Source organism: Homo sapiens, chromosome 12 (genome assembly GCF_000001405.40).
Source record: "Homo sapiens chromosome 12, GRCh38.p14 Primary Assembly".
Lineage (NCBI taxonomy): Eukaryota > Metazoa > Chordata > Mammalia > Primates > Hominidae > Homo > Homo sapiens.
In genome coordinates this window covers 51523652-51545960 of record NC_000012.12, presented here as the reverse complement: position 1 = coordinate 51545960, position 22309 = coordinate 51523652, and the positions used below count along the sequence as shown (strand labels likewise).

Sequence of the window (22309 nt, the reverse complement as noted above, 5' to 3'; positions counted from 1 at the left end):
GAGGTTTGAGGAACAACACAACATTTACATAGTCTCAAAATATCCATTCACAAGTGAGTTATTAGTTACAAAGGAAAAATAGTAAATATATAGTGCAGAAACTAAGCAATGCATTATCACCAATAAGGGACAAATAAATATCACACACTCTCAGATGTGATTTCCCAAGGAAACATATATAACTTATATATTGTTCTAGCCAAATATGTATAGCCTATGTCTAATCACAAGGACACATCAGAGAAACTCAAACTGAAGGACACTCTGTAAAATAACTGGTGTGTATACTTCAGAAATATTGACTTGAAAGACAAAGACAGACTGAGGTGCTCTTCCAGAAGGAAGGGGGCTGAAAATGTGGGAGAGCCAAATGCAGCACCCCTTCCTGGGCTGGGTCCTGTTAGAGCAGGGTCCCCAATCCCGTGGCCTGTTAGGAATCAGGCCATGCAGCAGGAGGTGAGCAGTGGGCTAGTGAAGGTTCATCCGTATTCACAGCCGCTCCCCAGAGCTTGCATTACTGCCTGAGTTCTGCCTTCTGTCAGATCAGCAGGGGCATTAGATTCTCACAGGAGCACAAACCCTGTTGTGAACTCTGCATGCGAGAGATTTAGGTTGCATGCTTCTTATGACGATCTAATGCCTGATGATCTGTCACTGTATCCCATCACCCCCAGACGGGACCATCTAGCTGCAGGAAAACAAGCCCATGGCTCCCACTAATTCTACATTATGGTGAGTGAGTTGTATAATTATTTCATTATATATTACAATGTAATAATAATAGAAATAAAGGGCACAATAAATGTAATGAACTTGAATCATCCCCAAACCATCCCCCCCAGTCGGTGGAAAAATTGTCTTCTACAAAATCAGTCCCTGGTGCCAAAAAGGCTGGGGACCCCTGCTGTAGAGGGAAAGGATGGCCATGAGGGACATCACTAGGGCAAGTGAAAACATTGGAATATGCAGCATAGATTAGATGAAAGTTATATGCCAATGTTAAATTTCCTGAACTTGATCACTGTAATGTGAAAATGTAAGAGAATATCCCTATTTAGTGCGCACACTGAAGTATTTAGGAGTAAAGGGACATGATGTATGCAACCTACTCTCAAACTGTTTTAGGAAACTGTGTGTATACATATAAAATATAGGTACAGCATACATTATAGATATATGTATGTATGTATATAACACATACATATACATGGATAGATATCGGGGAATCTGCCCCGATATTCACATAGATTCTTTTCTATTTTCCCTAAGCATTGGCCGGCTTGAGAGATAAAGGGACAGAGTACAAAAGAGAGAAATTTTAAAGCTGGGCATCCAGGGGAGACATCACATGTCGGTAGGTTCTGTGATGCCCCACAAGCTGCAAAAACCAGCAAGTTTTTATGGTGTTTCAAAAGGGGAGGGAGTGTGTGAATAGGTGTGGGTCACAGACATCAACTACTTTACAAGGTAATAGAATATCACAAGGCAAGTGGAGGCAGGGCAAGATCACAGGACCACAGGACAGAGGCGAAATTAAAATTGCTAATGAAGTTTCGGGCACCATTGTCATTGATAACATCTTATCAGGAGACAGGGTTTTGAGATCAACAGGTCTGACCAAAATTTATTAGGCTGGAATTTCCTCTTCCTAATAAGCCTGGGAGTGCTATGGGAGACTGGAGTCTATTTCATCTCTGCAGTCTCGACCGTAAGAGACGACCACGCCCAGAGGGGTCAGTTCAGAGACCCACCCCCAGGTGCGTATTCTCTTTCTCAGGGATGTTCCATGCTGAGAAAAAGAATTCAGCAATATTTCTCCCATTTGCTTTTGAAAGAAGAGAAATATGGCTCTGTTCCGCCCAGCTCACCGGTGGTCAGAGTTTAAGGTTATCTCTCTTGTTTCCTAAACGTTGCTGTTATCTTGTTCTTTTTTCAAGGTGCCCAGATTTCATATTGTTTAAACACACATGCTGTACAATTTGTGCAGTTAATGCAATTATTACAGGGTCCTGAGGCGTTATACATCCTCCTCAGCTGACAGGATTAAGAGATTAAAGTAAAGACAGGCATAGGAAATCACAAGGGTATTGATTGGGGAAGTGATAAGTGTCCATGAAATCTTTACAATTTATGTTTAGAGATTGCAGTAAAGACAGGCATAAGAAATTATAAAAGTATTAATTTGGGGAACTAATAAATGTCCATAAAATCTTCACAATCCACGTTCTTCTGCCATGGCTTCAGCCGGTCCCTCCGTTTGGGGTCCCTGACTTCCCACAACAGATAGAGGGAATGATAAAACAAATATGTATGACAAAAATGTTAAAAATTTGGTGAACATGAGTGTATACTCTGTTATCTATACCATTTTTGCAATTGTAAGTTTAAAATTATTTCAAATGTTTTCTAAAAATTCAGAAAATAAAGCACCATGGCAAAACAAAGCCCTGCAAGTCAAAGTTTTACAGGAGCAGAAATAAGGAGCCAGAGGAGGGGCTGTCAGTGGAGAGGAGATTGGTGTGGATTCATCAAAGGGTGCGAAAGCCAGATGGCTCCAAGAATGCCTGACTGTCCAGTTCCTGGAGTCACCCCAGAAGGCGCTTGGGCTCCCCCAGCTACTTTGAACAGTTTCAGCATCTTGTGTGGTGAGAGGTGAGCACCTGCGCTGTGATAACATGGAAACGACTGTTTTATTTTCTCACCTCTGCTATTGCTCTGGACACAGGGGTTCTGAAGCTAGCATCTGTGGAAAGATTTAGGGGGCCTGTGAACTCTAATGGGAAAAAAATCTTTATTTTTCTGATTACTAACTGAAAATTAGCATTTTCTTCAATTATGAATGTAGGCAACAAACTCCAATAGGATTAGCAGTACCTATGAATTTGTCATCAATAAAACCCACAGATATTGTCATGTTACAGCACAGCTACTGCAGATGTCTTGAAATCTTTACATTCATTGCTACTTGCAGCCAACGCATCTGGATTTGAACAACTCTAAATGAACCTACCTGAGGGCAGACACTGTGTTGTTTAACTCTGTCCCCCTGTGTGTGGGGTATGGTTCTTAATAGGTGGTCAAAATTGTTTGCTGGAATGAATTGATTTCTGTAACTCTGCTAATACCTCACTAACTGGGAATCCAAAGACCCAAAAAAGATAAAAAACAAACAAACAAAAAACAAAAAAACACAACTTGTTGGAAATGGAAGCTATTCCATTCCTTTCTTGATTCCACAAGAGATGCTGCCATTGGCCTCTCCCATCTGCCATGTTTCCTTTAGCTTGCTGACTCCTCCCCTCCCAATATTAGTGAGATACCTGCCACTGAAGAACACTCTTCTTTACTGTCAGTTTCAGACATCGTGTTTTTCTGTGACAACTGTCATTTAAAACAGGGGTCTAGGCCAGGCACCGAGGCTCATGCCTGTAATCCTAGCACTTTGGGAGGCCGAGGTGGGTGGATTGCCTGAGCTCAGGAGTTCGAGACCAGCCTGGGAAACCGTCTTCACTAAAATACAAAAAATTAGCCAGGTGTGGTGGCGTGCGCCTGTACTCCCAGCTACTCGGGAGGCTGAGGCAGGAGAATTGCTTGAACCCGGGAGGTGGAGGTTGCAATGAGCCAAGATCATGCCACTGCACTCCAGCCTGGGTGACAGAGTGAGACTCTGTCTCCAAAAAATAAAAATTAAAAAAATAAAACAAGGGTCTAGTTTCCCAGCTTAGGCAGCTTGTTCCCAAGCTGGGCACACATTCCTAGCAATGCCAGCTGATTGGCACAATGAGATAGCTGGAATCCCTCCCCCCATGGCAGGGGGCCCTAGGCTGGAGACACCTTGCTAAGAGAAGGTCCGTAGATAAATATTTTATTATCGCAAGAGAACAAAACCCTCTGGGTAAGTGTAGAGCAAAAAGCACTTGATAAAATGACTTCTACTATAAACATATCAGTTATCTATTGCTGCATAATAAACTGCCCAAAATTCAGTAGCTTAAAACATCAACAATATATTATTTCATACCATGACGTGGGTTGGAAGGGCAGTTCTGGTCTCTCCTGGCCCCACTCAAAGCTGCATTCAGGGCTGGATGGTACAGAACAGCCTCACTTGTGTGTCTGGGGCCTTGGCTACAATGGCTGGAATGTTCAGGATGGCCAGGCGTCTCACTCCACCAGGTCTCACATCCTGGAATTCTTTGCATGATGGTCTTGGGGCAGAATCCCAAGAGGACCAAGGTGGGAACCACTAGTCCTCTCGATTCTGGCTTGGAAGTCTTACTATTCTGCCATGTTCTATTGGCTAAAACACACCAAAAGGCCAGCCCAGATTCAAAGGGGGGAGAAATAGGTGCCATCTCTGGATGGGAAGATCAGCAAAGAATTTGTGGCATTTTTAAATCCATCCCATTACGTGAAAAAGGTAGTATCCTAAAGCACTGTGATAGCAACCACACAGGAAGGTGTCAGCAGAGTGATAAAGAGTAGAAAGGGAACACACATGAATTAAATGGTATTTTGGTTTTTGGCTCTAGGGTATCTGCGTTATTTTATTTTGCTTTGTTTTTCTAGAAAGTGAAGGTCAAAAGAAAAATCATGAGGTTGGTAAATGGAGTTCAGGGGAGTCACTGAGACACAGCAGAAGGAGCTAGAGTTGTTTGTCCTGGTGAAGAGAAGGCTCGGCGGGGATGGGGAACTGATTTAAGATGTCTAGAAGACTAGCGTGTGTTATTGGATTTGTTTGTGTGCTGCCAGAACTAGGACCACCGGGTGGACATTCCAGGAAAGATTTTCCTTAATTAAGAGAGAATAACTATCAGAGATGTACACAAAATAAATGAATGCCAGATGAGTCACCTTCCACTTGGGTGTGCAGTGACAAGCAGACATTGACCACTTTTCTAGAATGGAGAAGTTATTCTGCATCTGGTAGGGCCTCTGAGATTCCTCCCAACCCTGAGACTCAATGATGCCATCTCCTTCTGTGGTAACCTTGGGAGTCTGTGATGTTGGGATTACCCAAATGCCCATCCACTGGGCATCTTCCAGAGCCTCCATGTCAGCAGCTGCTCCCTGAACTCTGCAAAACCCCCAAGTGCAGGCTGGGTGGCACTACCTGTACCCATCCTTCCTGACAGCCTCTGACAGTTTTGCTCCTTCATTCTGGTTTTGTTCTGAGATTTTCTTCTTAGCTTTTCCAGGAGGAACTTGCCTTACCCTGTTGTAAGGTGGAGCATGTTTCTTTGCACTGGTTTATGGTGGAATCATCAGCTTCTCTGCAAGGCAGCATCCATCCTATTCCACTGGTACCTGACTGAAAGTTATGACCAGAAAGGTCACTGGTAGATTCGGTGTCGTGTGGCACCTCCACTTTTCTCTAGCTTTCCTTAACAGTGCCCAGGGTAGGCAGGGTACAGTGGCTCACACCTGTAACCCCAGCACTTTGGGAGGCCGAGGCAGGCAGATCATCTGAGGTCAGGAGTTCGAGACCAGCCTGGCCAACATGGTGAAACCCTGTCTCTACTAAAAATACAAAAACTGGCCGGGCGCAGTGGCAGCCTCCTGTAATCTCAGCTACTCGGGAGGCTGAGACAGGAGAATCGCTTGAACCCAGGAGATAGAGGTTGCAGTGAGGTGAGATCGCACCACTGCACTCCAGCCTGGGTGACAGAGTGAGACCCAGTCTCAAAAAAAAAGTTTCTAGAGTATTAGCCTAGAAACACATCTTGCTGAAGTCCAAGGTGAGAAAGATCTGTTTCCCCTGATTTGGGAACACACTCCACCACCCAAACAGCATGTGGTTGTTTTCTTCTTTCTTTTCTTTTCTTTTTTTGAGATGGAGTTTCACTCTGTCACCCAGGCTGGAGTGCAATGGCGCAATCTCAGCTTACCGCAAACTCCGCCTCCCGGGTTCAAGCAATTCTCCTGCCTCAGCCTCCCAAGTAGCTGGAATTACAGGCATGTGCCACCACGCCCAGGTAATTTTTTGTATTTTTAGTAGAGACAGGGTTTCTCCATGATGGTCAGGCTGGTCTCGAACTCCCGACCTGAAGCAATCCGCCCACCTCAGCCCCGCAAAGTGCTAGGATTACAGGCATGAGCCACCTCGCCCGGCCCATGCGGGTGTTTACTATGTGCCATTGCTTTACACATATTATCTCACTTAATCCTAACAACACAGTCCTATGAGGCAGGTACAGAGAGAAAATGGAAGCAAAGAGAAATTCGGTAACTTTCTCAGGGTCACACGGTTGCCAAGTGGCAGAACTGAATCCCAGGCAGTCTGACTCCACAGCCTATGGACTGGAGCCTTGCACTGTAACAGCTACTATTGATGGAGCACATAATATATGCATGGCAACGTCCTGAGTGCTTTACACAAGCTCTCTAATGTAATTCTCATAGCAACAATTCTATGCCATTTGTGTTATTATCACCATTGTTACAGATGAAGAAACTGAGGCTTAGAGAAGTTAAGAAATGTATCCGGCCCGGCGCAGTGGCTCACGCCTGTAATCCCAGCACTTTGGGAGGCCGAGGTGGGAGGATCACCTGAGGTCAGGGGTTCGAGACCAGCCTGGTCAACACGGTGAAACCCCGTCTCTACTAAAAATACAAAAAATTAGCTAGGCGTGGTGGCAGGCATCTGTAATCCCAGCTACTCAGGAGGCTGAGGCAGGAGAATTGCTTGAACCAGGCAGGAGAAGGTGGAGGTTGCAGTGAACCGAGATGGTGCCACTGCCCTCCAGCCTGGGCAATAAGAGCAAAAACTCTGTCTCAAAAAAAAAAGAAAGAAAGAAATGTACCCAAGGACACAGACTTGTGAGCTGCACTGATGGAAGAAACATGGCCAGAAGCTATTTGATATGGTACTCCTGCCACAGAAGGGGAGGTCTGTCTTCCCTCCTCTTGAATCTGGGCAGACCTCTCACTGCTCTGGCCTATAATACAGAACAGCAGAGAGGGTGCTCCGTGAGTTCCCCACTTAGCCTTTAGAAGGCCTGGCAGCCTGGTCTCTTGGAGCACCAACGGCCGTGTAAGAAGTCTGACTCCCGTGCTGACAGACCATGTGGGGAGGTCCTGAGGCCACATGGAAGGAGACACCGGCCCCACTGAGTGCAGCCCTCCAGCTCACCCAGCAACACACCAGATATGTGAGTGAAACCGTCTTGGGCCCTTCAGACCAGCTCAATTGCTTGGTGTCACTGCTGAATATCAAGTGACCTCAGGTGATGCCAGATGGACATGCCGGCCCTGTCTGAATTCCCAACCCACAAATTCATGTGCTATAATAAAACACTTGCCGCCATGTCTCCAGGTAGTTTGTTACAGAGCAACAGATAGCCTTAATAGTAGCAAGCCTTGGAGACAAACCCAGGCTGTCTAACTCAGAAGCTCATGCATCAAGCACCAGGCCATTCAGATGATGTTAGCAGCCATCACTGGGCAAGAGAAAAAACACAAGCATTCCACCTGTTTTCATAGAAGCCCCTGAATTTGTTCCACACCACCAGGCAGTGACTCTGTGGCTTCTGTTCAGGGACCCTGCTGACAGCTCTTCCATCAGGGATGATAGGGGATGACCCAGACGAACCCAGGGCTGCAGGATGGAACGCATGACACCCACGAAGGTTCAGTGTCAGAGAAGAGCAGTGTCCACCACAACTGCCCAGAAGAAAAGGGAGCCAAGGCGACTGAATGATGGGCCTCCTAAGCTGAGTTCCAACAAATAACTCTTCCAGAAAGAACAGAGCCAAGTAACAAATACTAAACGTACAGCAGGCCCCCGCGCACCCAGGGAGGTCCAGCGATGACAAGGTAAGAGCAGGAGCTGGGGACAGGCGGCCTTGAGTCTAATCCCAGTTCTGCCAATTGTCTGCTGTGCAACTTGGGGAAGTTACCTAATCTCTCTGACCACCTTCTCCCACTTAACAGTGAGAGATAAAATATAGAGATAAAATCATATAGTCTGTGTGACACACTGTTGGCATATAGTAGAAACTCAATGAACGTTAGTTTCCCTTGATCCTTACCCAGGGATTCCGAATATCATTGAGTTCTTTTTATTCCTCAAACATTTCACAGTTTCTGATCATTTAGCGTTGGTCATATTTAAAAGGGAGTAGCGAAGAGGTGGAAGAAAAGTGAAATCGGAATCCTGTCCCCCTTTGGCAACTAACCAAGGCAACTTACCGTCCACTGACAGTGAGGAGCTGGGTCTCAGACCTCGATCTGGCTGCCTGAGCCAAGCCTCTGAGCCTCACCACCTCTGCCCAGCCACCTCTGGAGAGAGTGGCAAGGTGGGCTGTGGCTGGAGGGCTCAGAGCCTACTGGTGCCCAGGCCGCTTATCTCTCCCTAAGCACAGTTTCCCTAGACCTGCTTTTAGCTGGCCACCCACGTGTGGGCTGTCTTGATGGTGATGTCCACTCTCTGATTGCCTTGTCTGCCTGTTTGTCCTGCCTGTGCGGCGTTGTCAAGACTCCTAGGGACAGAGAACAGATTGTGGGACTCCCTCAGTTCAGCTGCCGGGAAGCACTGCCCAACAAGGGGTGCAGGTCTGTGCTGCTGCAGCTGGTTAGAAAAGGACTGCTGTGGATTTCACCATCTGTCGGCCAGCAGGGAGGAGGAGCGGCACCTGGGGAGCTCGCTCATGCTCAGTCGTTTTTCTTTTGTTTGTTTGTTTTGAGACGGAGTCTCACTCTGTCGCCCAGGCTGGAGTTGCAGTGGTGCCATCTCGGGTCACTGCAACCTCCGCCTCCCGGGTTCAAGTGATTCTCCTGCCTCAGCCTCCCGAGTAGCTGGGACTACAGGCACATGCCACCACACCTGGCTAATTTTTGTATTTTTAGTAGAGACGGGGTTTCACCATATTGGCCAGGCTGGTCTCGGTCTCCTGACGTCGTGATCCGCCTGCCTCAGTCTCCCAAAGTGCTGGGATTACAGGCATGAGCCACAGCGCCCAGCTTCATGCTCAGTCTTTTTAAGAGCAAAAACTTGGGAGTGGCTCACCACATCCATCTACGCACTGCTGGTGAGAGTTAAGTTAATAGACACACCTAGCTGCAAATAGGCTAGCAAATGTAAGTTTACCTGGGTGACCTCATACCTAGCTAAAACTCTGCAATTTTAGAAGGTTGAGGGACAAGTAGTCTCTACCTCCTCACTTCACCCCTTCAGCTCATGCCCAAGGTAATAGCATAAATATGTAAAATTTTGCTAGGAAAAATCCCAACAAAGTGATGACTGCAGGGCAGTCGTTATATTAAAATATATATTATTTAATTAAAATATTTTATAATAAATTATATTAAATTATTATATTTTATTAAATATATTTTAAATATTTATATAATATAATATATATTTAAATATATTATATATTTAAATATATATTATATTATATAAATATTTATATATTTTAAATATATATATTTAATATATATATATTTAAATATTTATTATATTATATATATTAAAATATAATAAATATATATAATAAATATATAGCGACTTGTAGTGTCGGAGAGCAAGGAAGTGCTCAGAAAATGAAAGGATCTCCAGAGACACAGGAAGCAACTTGAAAGAGCTCCCAGTGGTCACCGCTGGGATAATGTTGAGGAACAAAATAAGTAGTGTAGTACTGGATTACAACACAAAGTATGGAATATACATAAGTCCATACAGGTGTAAATTAATGATTCAATGCATAGATGGGCACAAGAAACAGATCATCCTTATGGAAGAATTCCAAATAATATAAGTAGATAAATTCATCTTAGGAAGTGGAGGTTAATTCTTGCCCCCCACCCTTGAGTGTGGGCTGGACTTACTCACATGCCAAGAATATAGTAATGAAAGGAAAAAAACAGTAACTTTATGGTGGAGACACTTGACAAACGCTGCCTAAACCAGTGAGTTCGGGTTAACTTCATCAGTGATAAGTGATGTTAATATCATACCCTCCAATAAGGTGTGATGAGAAGGGCCCTTCGCCTCTGTTGTATTCCTCCCAAAAACCCATAGACCCATTCTAATAGTGAGCAAAACACCAGAAAAACCGAAATTGAGAGAGTCTTCAAAATATCTCACCAATACTTCTGAAAATTGCCAAGGTCATGAAAAACGTGGAAAGACAGAAATTATCGCAGACCAGATGTGGCGGCTAAGGAGACAGGATGACTAAATGCAAAGCCGGACCCTGGATTGGATCCTGGTACTAAAAACCATAAAAACTACCAAAATCCAAATTAAGGCCGGGCGTGGTGGCTCACACCTGTAATGCCAGCACCTTGGGAGGCTGAGGCGGGTGGATCACCTGAGATCAGGAATTCGAGATCGGCATGGCCAACATGGTGAAACCCCATCTCTGCTAAAAATACAAAACTTAGCCGGTCATGGTGGCACGTGCCTGTAGTCCCAGCTACGTGGGAGGCTGGGACAAGAGAATCACTTGAACCTGGGAGGCAGAGATTGCAGTGAGCCGAGATCGTGCCACTGCACTCCAGCCTGGGCGACAGAGCGAGACTCCTCAAAAAAAAAAAGTTAAGTCTAGAGTTCAATTGAGTCATGTACCAATGCTGTTTTCTCAGTTTTAACAAATGTAGCAGGGCACTGAAAGATGTTAGCTTTAGAGAAAACAGGGTGAGGGGAAATAGAGGAACCCTTATATTATCTTTACAACTGTTCTGTAAATTTAAAATTATTCCAAAATAAAAAGTTTACTACTATATATATGTATATATGTATATATACTAATATATATGCATGAAGATAATCCGCGTCCAGATTCTGTACCTTCGTTTCAGGGGCTTTGACACTTTTCTGACTGGAAAAGACTCTTTCAGTTATAACCTACTACATACACATGTATATATCTGCAACAGAAATGTCCCCAGACAATCCCCACTGTATTACTCCCGGTGCACTATGATGTTTCTTTTCTACTCTATTCCGTTTCATTTGTTTTAGTGCTGGTCTCACCTGTGGATGAGCCTCTCCCTGGGACTCTGCCCCACGTGGCCTCATCTCCACCAAGCCCCCGCACACTGCCAAGACCCAGGGCTTCCGTGCTGGGACCCACTTTACCCAGAGATGGAATCTTTATTTGTGTCTCCGCCCAGACACCACCCCTTCCGAAAGGCCTCCCCTGCCTACCCTGGCTAAAGGCACACACCTCACATATAACCCCATCATTCTCCGTCCCCTTACCCTCTTTCTGTGTCTTTGTGGCACTGATCACAGCCTGCTCTTATGTCACATACATGTGCCATGTGTTCGCTTACTGGCTTTTCCCTGTCTAGAAAGTCAGCGGCATGAAACCAGGACTGTTATCTGTTTGGCTCCCTGCTGTGTCCTACTGCCTGGTGCACAGCAGCCACGAAATAAATATCACTTCACTGTAGAATTCTCCAAGTTTCTAAATACAAGTCAAGAAAACATGACTTGACTAAACCTGGGACTTCCTTCCTTTTCCCTCCTAAGGATGGACAGCCCCGGCTTCCCTGGCTGCTTGCATGACAGCTCTGTTCTCTGCTGCCTGCACCATCCCCCCCCGCCCCCGCCCCGCCACCAGTGTGTGTGCAGCTTTTATGGAATAATCAGCCTCTCTTTGCTTGCGTTTGGCTATTCCTGCAGCCTTCTTGGCAACCTTTTTTTTTTTTTCCAGCAAGAATAAGCGAGGAAAGAAAAGTGGGAGAGGAGGAAGAGGAAGAGGAGGAAGGGGAGGAGAAAGACAAGGCTCTGGTTTTCCCCAGCACCATTTCTCTTGCACTGAAGAATTGTCACTCTTGGCCATCAGGTTTCTACAAGCTCACCCAGTCCATATCCCTGACTTTGACATGCTCTGCCAGTGTCTAAATTATTTCTGCATAAAATGACTTAGGGGCTCTCTTTGACTACATTCAGTAGCTCAGTGTTTTCTGGATGCAAATTGCTCCTACCTCTTAAAGGCTGTACTTTACTCCCCCTTTCGACCATTGTGGAGGGAGAGTTACTGTTAATTTCCTAATAATTATGGGCTCTACAAGGGGGATTCAATTGTTAAGTAGAAAAAAAGAGGAATATAGCAATGTGAGCAACATACACAGAATATTAATGTTTGTTTAAAAGGAGAAGTTGGAGAATATGTATTTAGTTTTTGATTGGAAATACATAAAATGCACAGAAAATATACAGAAGAAATGATAACATTGTTTCCCTCTGGAAAGTTCCTTGAGAGCAGAAAAACTTTATAGTTAGCTATTCTAAGCATTTAATCACCAACTAATTTGCCCATGCAGGTGGACAAGAAGGTAAATTCAAATTGTGTTGAAGAAAAGAAAGCAGTTTGTCTCTGGGTGCTTTGTCTGCTTATGAAAGGTGAGGACTCTGATATCATCTAGGGTGAAACTGTTGTGAAGCAGATGGAGGAAATTGATCTTTGATATTAAAGGCCATTTTAAGAACTTTGTAAGCCCCAGAGACTCCTAGTTTTATTATAGCAAATATATTAAAACACACTCATATCCTATGTTAAATATAATTTGCCCTATAATTTTTTTTTTTTTTTTTGAGATAGGGTCTTGCTCTGTCACCCAGGCTGGAGTGCAGTGGCACCAACACGGCTCACTGCAGCCTCTACCTCCTGGGCTCAAGCGATCCTCCCACCTCAGCCTCCTGAGTAGATGGGACTACAGCTACTCAGGAGGCTGAGTAGAGAAGGTCCCACCATGTTGCCCAGGCTGGTCTTGAATTCCTGAGCTCAAGTGACCCACTACGCCCTGGCCTCCCAAAAGTGTGCTGGGATTATCCACCGTGCCTGACCCTGCCCTGTAAGTTTGAAAGGAATTTTATAATTTTGCTTTGGAAATTATTTGGCGATGAGTAATATTTAATTTATTATTGGCTACGATTACTCAGGAGTCACCATCTCTACCCAGGAATTCTTAAGAAGTGAAAAAAATCTAACCCACAAAATTCTTTTCAAATGGAATAAATATTTATAAATACTAAATTTAACAATTAATGAAATTGACAATGTTATGTTTTACTGATGTCTAATTAAGCATTTATAAATTTTGTTTTACTGGGCTTTTTTTTTTTTTTTTTGGCATTTGGACCCAGTAACTTCTTTTTGGGTCCACAAGATAAAATGGCACTATTGATATGTGTCCCCCACCTGTTCTTCTGGAATCTCTACCCCAGGGTAAATGGGACTTTATTACCCTCCTGCCTCCCTCCAACCCCCCAGCCCCTCCCCAGCTTTATCCAGTCAACTCTCTTCAGAAGTTCCTCATGCTCAACTTTTTCCTCTTTTTTTCTTTACCCTTCTTCCTTTTCTCATCTTTCTTTGGCACCCAAAACATTTCTGATAACACCTCGGCTCTCCGCACTCTGAGCTCTATTAATTTGCTAATGTCCTAAATGTTTAATGACTCACAGTCCAGGCAACTTGGTTATGTCTTTTCATAGTTACATTTTAATTGGGCCTTTTTAGAGATACAACACTTGAATTCAAAAGGCTCTCTTTAATGATGTGAATTTAGGGCTTAGTTGTGGGAGATATTTCTAGGGAGGTGCAAAATCCTTTGGGAGTAAATTCCAGCAACAAAAAAAATCCTCTTCCCCTGGGAGCTCACAGATGAGCTGAGGAGGTAACATGTAATGCATAACCAGGACATAAGGTAGACGGCACCATTAGGGACGCGTAGAGGAAGGGCGTGGGGGCTTACAGCAGAGAGCTTGCTTTCAGCTGCGGGAATCAGAGGAGGTTACCTGGAGGAAGCGACATTTGAGTTGGACCCTAAAGGATGGGTGGGGTTTGGAGCCCTGGTGCTTCTGGCTCACTCCTTCCCTTCTAACCAGCTGCCGTTCATGAGTTCCTCCAGCAGAGGGCAGGCATAGCAAAGACGGGAAGGAGAGTCCGATTCTTCAGCCCAGTCTTGAGTGGGGCTTTGCATGCCCAGAACTGTCTAGACGGCTTTCTGGGTTTACTAAGAAGGGGCGGTAACTGAAACCTGGTGCCACCTGCCCTGGTGCCACCTCTCCATGGACACTAAGGTGCCCTTTCTAGAGCAGTCAGGCCGGGCAGGTTTGGGCAGTCCAGCCTGGGGAAGGGGAGAGGACTGCCTTTCTGGGTTGCCATGGGAGTTTATTCCCCACTCTCCCTAAGGAACTGGGAGCCGAGGTATGGGTTGCTTTGGTGCTTAAAGTATTTCTCTGTCTATGGTCAGATGAGACAATAATTCATGCTCAAGTGGTTTACTAAGGAAATATTCCCAAGAAAATATTATAAGGAAGTGGGGACAGTAGAATAGGGAAAGAGTAAATGCCAGGCAAGTGTCTGATTTGGGGTGAAGTCCCAGCCTCAGCCTGATGCCTGAGGGAGCTCCAGGGGCGTGCCTTGCAGCACAGAGTTTGCCCTCCCTCAGGGCAAAGGAACAGGGCTTTGTACTGCTGCACCCATCAATGGCTGACCACGGCTGCCCCAGGGGGACGTCAACTGGCAGCCCCTTCCAGTTCTTGGTGCATCTGGGTGACTTAGCCCCAGGAGCCCGTGCTTTATCGTCTGAAGACAGGTGTTGATAGGAGCCATCGACAGTGAACATACACAGCTGGAAAGGGGATCTGAGGACAGCTGGGTGCGGCTCCGACCGCCTTTGCTACTCTCTCCAAGGCCCCTTCTATTTATCCAGTCTCCCCATGACCAAAGACTTTGTCTTGCAGACAGAACTACCACTGGGGAAACCCAGGAAGATTCCAAGCCCTCTTGTCTTTTCAGAAGAGATCATTTCTGGTCTCTCAGCACCTCTGGTCTTGCTCTGGGGAACCTGTATTTTTATTGCAGGAGTCCTCACCTCTGTCCCCTAATCCCTTCTACCCCAGCTCCTCAAAATGCATCCCTTCAGAGTTCTCCACCCTCAGCTAATTGTCAGTTCGGGCATTGACGTTCCCCATGGATGCATTAATGGCAGAGAGATGCTCTGACAGGCACTGTGTTTTACCCAGCTCTCCCTTCTGTTACCACTCAAGTGGGAGCTCTCCGAGAGCAAGGGCTGTTTCTCATTCCTTGCCCAGGCCTGCCTGATGGAGTGGGTCTCTAAGTGCAGTTCCTGGACCTCCAGCATCAGGCTCACGGCAAGTGCGTTTTATAATCTTAACTTCCCCGCCAGCCCCCATCCCACCGCACACACACAAAAGGGGTCTGGAAATCAGCCTCTTTCACAAACTTCCTAAGTAATTCTGGTGCTCATTAAAGAATGAGAGCCATGGCCCAAGCACTCAAGGGGCAAATGAGTCCTCCAGAGAACTTTCAGGAACCCCCATGGCACACTTTCACCTTTGTCAAGCCACATCTCACCTTCTCAAGGAGCCCCACCCCCGTCCCAGTGCTCCTGATCCCCTGTACCTATTCTACTTCTTCCTACCATAGCATTATCACCTTTTTCATTATGTGTATCGCTTAGTCTCTCACCTTCCCCCATTAGAACATGAGCTCCATGAGGGCAGGGATCTTTGTCTGGCTGACTGCTATGTCCCAGTGCCTGGAATGCAGTATCCACACATGGTTGGTGTTCAAAAACACGTGTTGCATGAATGAATGAAGTAATTGTGTGGAGAGGCATCAGAGTAACTGAAGACAAAGATCATTACAAATTATCCACTTCTAAACTTCTTTGATAACAGACATTGCATTATCTGTGCCCTGAGACCCCCCTCAGATTCAATGACTTACTGGCAGGACTCACAGGACTCCGAAAAGCTGATATACTCACAGTTATGGTTCATTACAGGGAAAGGATACAGATGAACATCAGCAAAGGGACAAAGTAGGTGGCGATGTCCAGGAGAAATCAGGCAATCAGGCTCAACCTTCTAGGTGTCCTCTCCCAGTGGGCCTGACGGGAATGCAGTTAATTCCCCCAAAAACTATGCATGACAACACGTGCAAAATATTACCAACCAGGGATGAGCCTTGTTGTCCAGGGGTTTTATGTGGTGGCAGTACCCACATGACTTATTTTAGCCACTCAGTCTCTAGTTCCCCACGCTACTGAGAGGTCAAACTGTTGGTGCACAGCCCAGGCAGGGCCTTAGGCATACAAAACCAGACATTCACCATAAATCACTTTATTAGCACAAACTGGTCAGACTGATAGTGTGGCCTAAGGCCTGGGGCATAGAAAAAAAGTCAACCAGGCAGGATCTTCCAAGGGCTCAAAGGTCACCTCCCAGGAGCCAGTCAAGGGCCCAGTCCTTTCTTTGGAATGTGCAAGGTTTGAGCAACCCATACCTGCTGCGTTAACCCTTTCCTGCGCAGACACCAGTAAGCAGATTCTCAACATGGCCCCAACTGAGACTGTTCTGTAATTAATCTATGTGGTTGGTATTGGTCTGACTTCTCCCCAGATATTATTGTGCCTAATTAAGTTATACTTGCAGGCTAACTTACCTCAGGGTTGGGTCATATATTCATTTCACAGGGTTAATGAGCACGTACTGTGTGCTAGATATGGTGCTTTATGGGGAATGCAAAAATGGACATGGCAGACATGGTCCGTGTCTCAGGAAGTTTAGTCTAGTCTAGTTACAGGTCAGTTCTTGGACTTTGGCATATGAAGGATTCCTTGGAGATAACAACCCACTCTGAGGGCAAGCAGGAAGAAGAGATGACTGTGGAGTGAAGATGATGAAGGTGCGGGAGAGAAAGCCTCTTCCCTGTCATTAGCTCTGCCCTTTGAACCTTCAGCAAGCAGATCCTGGGAGATTCCTGTGGCTTGTCTGAGGCACTGGAGATTTGCTTGGAGCAAGGCTGCCTTCCAAGATAAAGGGCAGCCAGGAAAAACCTTAATGCTCTATCCATATTTATGTATCAAATACTTACATGGCACCTACTATGTGCCGGATGCCATTCCCAGCATTCTGCAGATATTAGCTCACCACCATGCCAAACCCCTGCCTGTAGCTCCTGGCACATTCCTGATGCTCTGCGGGCTGTGTGTCCTGGGGAGAGCAGCAGATGTCACCATGCCCTCAGAACCTCTCCTGGTTCTCGTGCTTTCTTACTCTCATATGCCCATCCCATCCCAGGCTCATGCCCTCCTTTGCCTTGTGTCCTCAGGAATGCCCTGTCTTTTGTGAGCACACTCCCCTATGTTCTTGAGCTTTCCTGCTAACACTTCTGGAGCTTTGCTTTCACTGAAGCCTGACTTTCCCCAGGATATACTGATGCTCAGCTCAGGTACTCGATGAGCCAGTGACAGATCAGTCTGAAGTCTGAAAAGCAGGCAAGGGCAGTAGTAAGGACAGAAACAGGAATTCAAGAGGAAAACACCCAAGGGCAGATCAAGAGGTCCCAGAGTCCCTGAGACTCCCTCAGCAGAGCCAGCACCTCAGATTATGTTCCTCTGCATCATTTCTGTATCTCAGCTCAGCAACAGCTCTGCTCATACCCAAGAAATGCTTGTGGATGAAACACAGAGGCCCAGTCTCTGTGAATGCCACTGGGATGATATTTATGCACCATAAAATAAACGTTAAACACTCAATACATACATTGCATTGTAGCAAAGTGATTTCAAATATATCATAAAATGACAGGGATAAAATGAAGTGACCTTCATTTCCTGCTTCTTATAGAGAAGGAAACTGATACGAAAAGTGCGGAAGTGTCTTACCCAGGGTGGGTCATGCAGCTAGTGAGTGGCAGAACTGGGATGAGGAGCTGAGATCATGGTCAGATGGAAGTGGAGTTTGGGCCCCCTAGAAGGCTCACCAGTGGTTGCTGGGCAGGCATTGAATTTGCCCCTCATCTGTGTAGCTGAAGCTGAAAGGAAGTCCTCAGCATGCTCAGTACTGAGACAGAAAATCTCTCTTCTCCATGATGCCAACCTCAAGAGGGAAGAGGGAAGTTGCCCTCAAATAAACTAGTGATATGTGTGGGCGAGTTTTCCCTGAAAAATGTAGCAATTCCCCAGAATCCAGGGGCAGGTTTTCTTTGTTTTTTGTTTTGTTTTGTTTTGTTTTGGAGACAGGGTCATGTTCTGTCACCTAGGCTGGAGTGCCGTGGCACAATCATAGCTCACTGCAGCCTCAAATTCCTGGGCTCAAGCAATCCTCCTGCCTCAGCCTCCTGAGTAGCTGGGACTACAGGTGTGTGCCACCATGCTCAGCTAATTTTTAAATTTTTTTGGTAGAGATGGGGTTTTGCTATGTTGCCCAGGCTGGTCTTGAACTCCTGGGCTCAAGCGATCCTCCCACTTCAATCTCTCAAAGTGCTGGGATTCTACAGGCATGAGCTGCCATGCCTGGCCAGGTTTTCTAAATTTCATAATATTTATTGAAGTTCCTATTTGTCTTGAAGTGCACTTGTACTATTCTCAAACAGCAGGTAAACCCCTGATAGTAGGAACCCACTCTTTCTTTTCTCAATGTTGAGGTGCCTGGAGGAGGCCCTAGCCCAGCTCGGCATCTGTTGTTTTTTCTGGCCTGGGGAAAGGCTGTACTTCTCTGTAAAGGTTTTGTTCAAGTCCTGGTGGCTGATAAAGAATCTGGGCTACACCTACCTGGTTTTGGGGGTTTGGGGGGACAATGAGGGGCCTCAGTCTGGTGGGGAGCTGGAGAGCCTGCTCAGGGATGCTTGATCATCTCTACTCAACCAAAACCCATGCAGTCCAGACCATCTCCTGCTGCAGCAAAACGGCACGCCCATTCCCTGCAGGAGGAGAATCCGTTGGTTCTGTTGGGGAAAGCGGTTAGCTGAAGAGTAGTATCAAGAGCTTTACAAATCGGCATATCCTTTAAACAAACAGTTACCATTACAGATTCTATTCTAAAGAAATGATGTGACAGCAAAACCTTTACTTACAAAGATGTTTGTCACAATCTTGGTAACAGGCAATCAATTAGAAATAGCACAGATGTCCAACAATAGGGAATTGGTTCAATCAGTCATTGTGTATCCCTTGATGTTATCCAGTTATTAATAATGATGTTTATAATGACTTTTTGATGACATGATAGTGGCCAAAAAAATCCAGATTCCTACCACAAAAAAATTAAGATAATTATATGAGGTGGTGGATATATTAATTAGCTTGGTGTGGTGATCATTTCACACTGTATACATACATCAAAACATCGAGTTGTTCACTTTATATGATTTTTGATGATTATAGCTTAATAAAGCTGAAAAAATCAATTCAAGTGTTACATACAGCATGGTTGTAATAATGTAAACAGAAATATGCTCAGAAAATGACTAGAAAGAAATGTATCAAAATGTGGTTTCCTTCAATGGTAGAATCACGGATTTCTATTGTCTTCTTTTCCTACTGTTAAACCTGATTGTTAGGCGGACAGCTCAGAAGGCCTCTGTGGTTCCATCCTTTGGTGCCCACACCTTTGTACACTCCCTCCCTTCGCGTGTGGGTGGAACCTGTAAGATGCAGCCAACAGGCTGCAGCAAGGGCGATGGGACGCCACTCTGTGATTATGAACGTTATACAGCAAAGGTGAGGAGATTTCTCTGGTGTAATTACTGCCCTCAGTCTGTTGACTCTAAGTTAATCACAAGGGAGATCATCTTAGTAGGCCTGACCCAATCATGTGAGTTCTTGAAGAAAGGGTCCAGGAATAAGAGGTACTCTCTAGAAGGGGTTTACCTGCTGTTTTGTTGTTTGTTTGTTTTGAGACAGGGTCCCGCTCTGTTGCCCAGGCTGGAGTGCAGTGGTGCGATCTCGACTCACTGCAACCGCTGCCTCCCAGGTTCAAGCAATTCTCCTGCCTCAGCCTCTGGAGTACTTGTGATTACAGGTGCCCACCACCATGCCCGGCTAATTTTTGGATTTTCAGTGGAGACAGGGTTTCCCCATGTTGGCCGGGTTGGTTCTGAACTCCTGGCCTCAAGTGATCCGCCCGTCTTGGCCTCCCAAAGTGCTAGGATTACAGGCGTGAGCCACCGTGCCCGGCCTTACCTGCTGTTTGAGCATAGTACAGGTGCGCTTTAAGAGAAGTAAGAACTTCGAGAAATATTTCGAAATTTAGAAAACCTGTGACTGGATTCTGGGCCTCCAGAAGCTATCAGCCATGACATGACACGGCCATAGAAACCAGTGGTCTCTGAGAGTGGAGGGCCTCAGCCCACAGCCACAAGGATCTGAATTCTCCCAACAACTTCCAGGATCTTAGAAAAGGACCTCCAGCTTCAGACGAGACAGAAGCCGCAGCCGACACCTTGACTGCAGCCCCTGAGAGACCCTGAGTAGAGGACCCTGTTGAGCCACGCCCAGGCTCCCGATCCAAGGAAACAATGAGATAATAAATGTAGGCCGGGCACAGTGGCTCACGCCTGTAATCCCAATACTTTAGGAGGCCAAGGCGGGCGGATCATAAGGTCAAGAGATCGAGACCAGCCTGGCCAACATGGTGAAACTCCTTCTCTACTAAAAATACAAAAATTAGCTGGGCGTGGTGCCGGGTACCTGTAATCCCAGCTACTGGGGAGGCTGAGGCAGGAGAATGGCGTGAACCCGGCAGGCAGAGGTTGCAGCGAGCCGAGATCGCACCACTGCACTCCAATCTGGTGACAGAGCAAGACTCCATCTCAAAAAAAATAAAATAAATAAATAAATAAATGTGCATTTTTTGCAGTCACTAAGGTTGTGGTAATTTTCTTACTGCAGCAATACGAAAATGAATATCTTTATAGTTGTATTTAACTTTATAATTTTCTGTACCTTCTAAGTATTTACAGTGCTGTCAATTAGAACTGCCTGCAATGGCGGAAATGTTGTCACCTGTGCCATCCAATCCACCAGCCATTAGCCACATGTGGCTATGGAGCACCTGAAATGTGGCTGGTGGGACTCAGAAATGAAATTCTTTAAAATTTTATTTTAAACAGCCACATGTAGCTAGTGGATAGCATATTGGACAATAGTTCTGTACTTCGTTCTTATGATTTTTTAAAAAATTGGCCCATTTAACAAATTGCAGGTAAATGTCCACTTGGAAAGGAAATGGTGAGAAAATGATCACATCTAAACAGGAGGCATCGAGGTACAGCAGGGACAGCATTCACTGGTCTTTTGGCCCTGAATGTTCTTATCTCTAGAAAGGAAATAACAATAATTGCCCTCAGTTTCAAGGGTCAGATAAGAGGCTGCACACAGAAAGGCTGCCATGAAGACAGAAGCCAGGCCTTATCTCCCCTCTGGTTCTGGCCAAATTGAATGGAAGAGAACCTGCTTTCTGGCGAACTTGGGTGCTTTCTGACCCAGATAGCTCAGGCTAAGGAGACAGGAAGGATGAGCTCCTGCGTTCCATGCGAGGGCCCCTGGAAGCTCTGCTCTCTTGTGCTGTGACTGTGGTTACAGTTGAAAGCTGCGTGTGTGCTCCCTATGGAAGGCACTGGCAGACACCTTTCTTTCTGGATGTGCTCTTCTGGCTGAGTACAGGGGAATCTTGGCTCCTACCCAAGTGGAATCACACCACTTCAAGGCAGCTCATGGCCCTCAGGAGCTGGGGTGGGGGTGGCGAGAATCTCTTCCTGTGAATGCTCACAGCAGCCTCTCTGGGAGGGGGTGGCGGTGAAAGAACAGAATCGAGTGGGAAAAGCATAGTTATATGATAAAATAATTGTGGCCGGGCACAGTGGCTCACGTCTGTAATCCCAGCACTTTGGGAAGCCAAAGAGGGTGGATCACCTGAGGTCAGGAGTTCAAGATTAGCCTGGCCAACGCATGGCGAAACCACATCTCTACTAAAAATACAAAAATTAGCTGGGCGCAGGAGCACACACCTGTAATCCCAGCTACTCAGGAGGCTGAGGCAGGAGGATCGCTTGAACCCAAGAGGCAGAGGTTGCAGTGAGTCGAGATCGCAGCACTGCACTCCAGCCTGGGTGACAGAGTGAAGCTCTGTCTCAAAAAATAAAATAAAATAGTAATAATAATAATTGTACACTTGAATGATAAAAAGTTTACTTATTTTCCTAATACAAGATACAGAAATTGAAGCTAGACAAAATCTCCTTGGCTGGTGGGGCAGGAGGCTCTGGGGGATAAATAAATGTGGTAGAGGCCAGGTGCGGTGGCTCACGCCTGTAATCCCAGCACTTTGGGAGGCCAAGGCAGGCAGATCACTTGAGGTCAGGAGTTTGAGAGCAGCCTGGCCAACACAGTGAAACCCTAAAAATATAAAAATTAGCCAGGCGTGGTGGCAAGGACCTGTAATCCCAGCTACTCGGGAGGCTGAGGCAGGAGAATCGCTTGAACCCGGGAGGCGGAGGTTGCAGTGAGCCGAGATCGTGCCACTGCACTCCAGCCTGGGTGA

At 45.9% G+C, this 22309-nt stretch overlaps 2 annotated features.

Moving 5' to 3' along the window:
* Nucleotides 322–823: an enhancer, noted in NCBI's record as "NANOG hESC enhancer chr12:51938922-51939423 (GRCh37/hg19 assembly coordinates)". NCBI's record gives its function as "activates a minimal SCP1, AML or CMV promoter by ChIP-STARR-seq in naive H9 embryonic stem cells {active_cell/tissue: H9 hESC(naive)}" and the evidence as "EXISTENCE:reporter gene assay evidence [ECO:0000049][PMID:30033119]".
* Nucleotides 13700–13759: an enhancer, noted in NCBI's record as "active region_6384". NCBI's record gives its function as "activates an Ori minimal core promoter by ATAC-STARR-seq in GM12878 lymphoblastoid cells {active_cell/tissue: GM12878}" and the evidence as "EXISTENCE:reporter gene assay evidence [ECO:0000049][PMID:35858748]".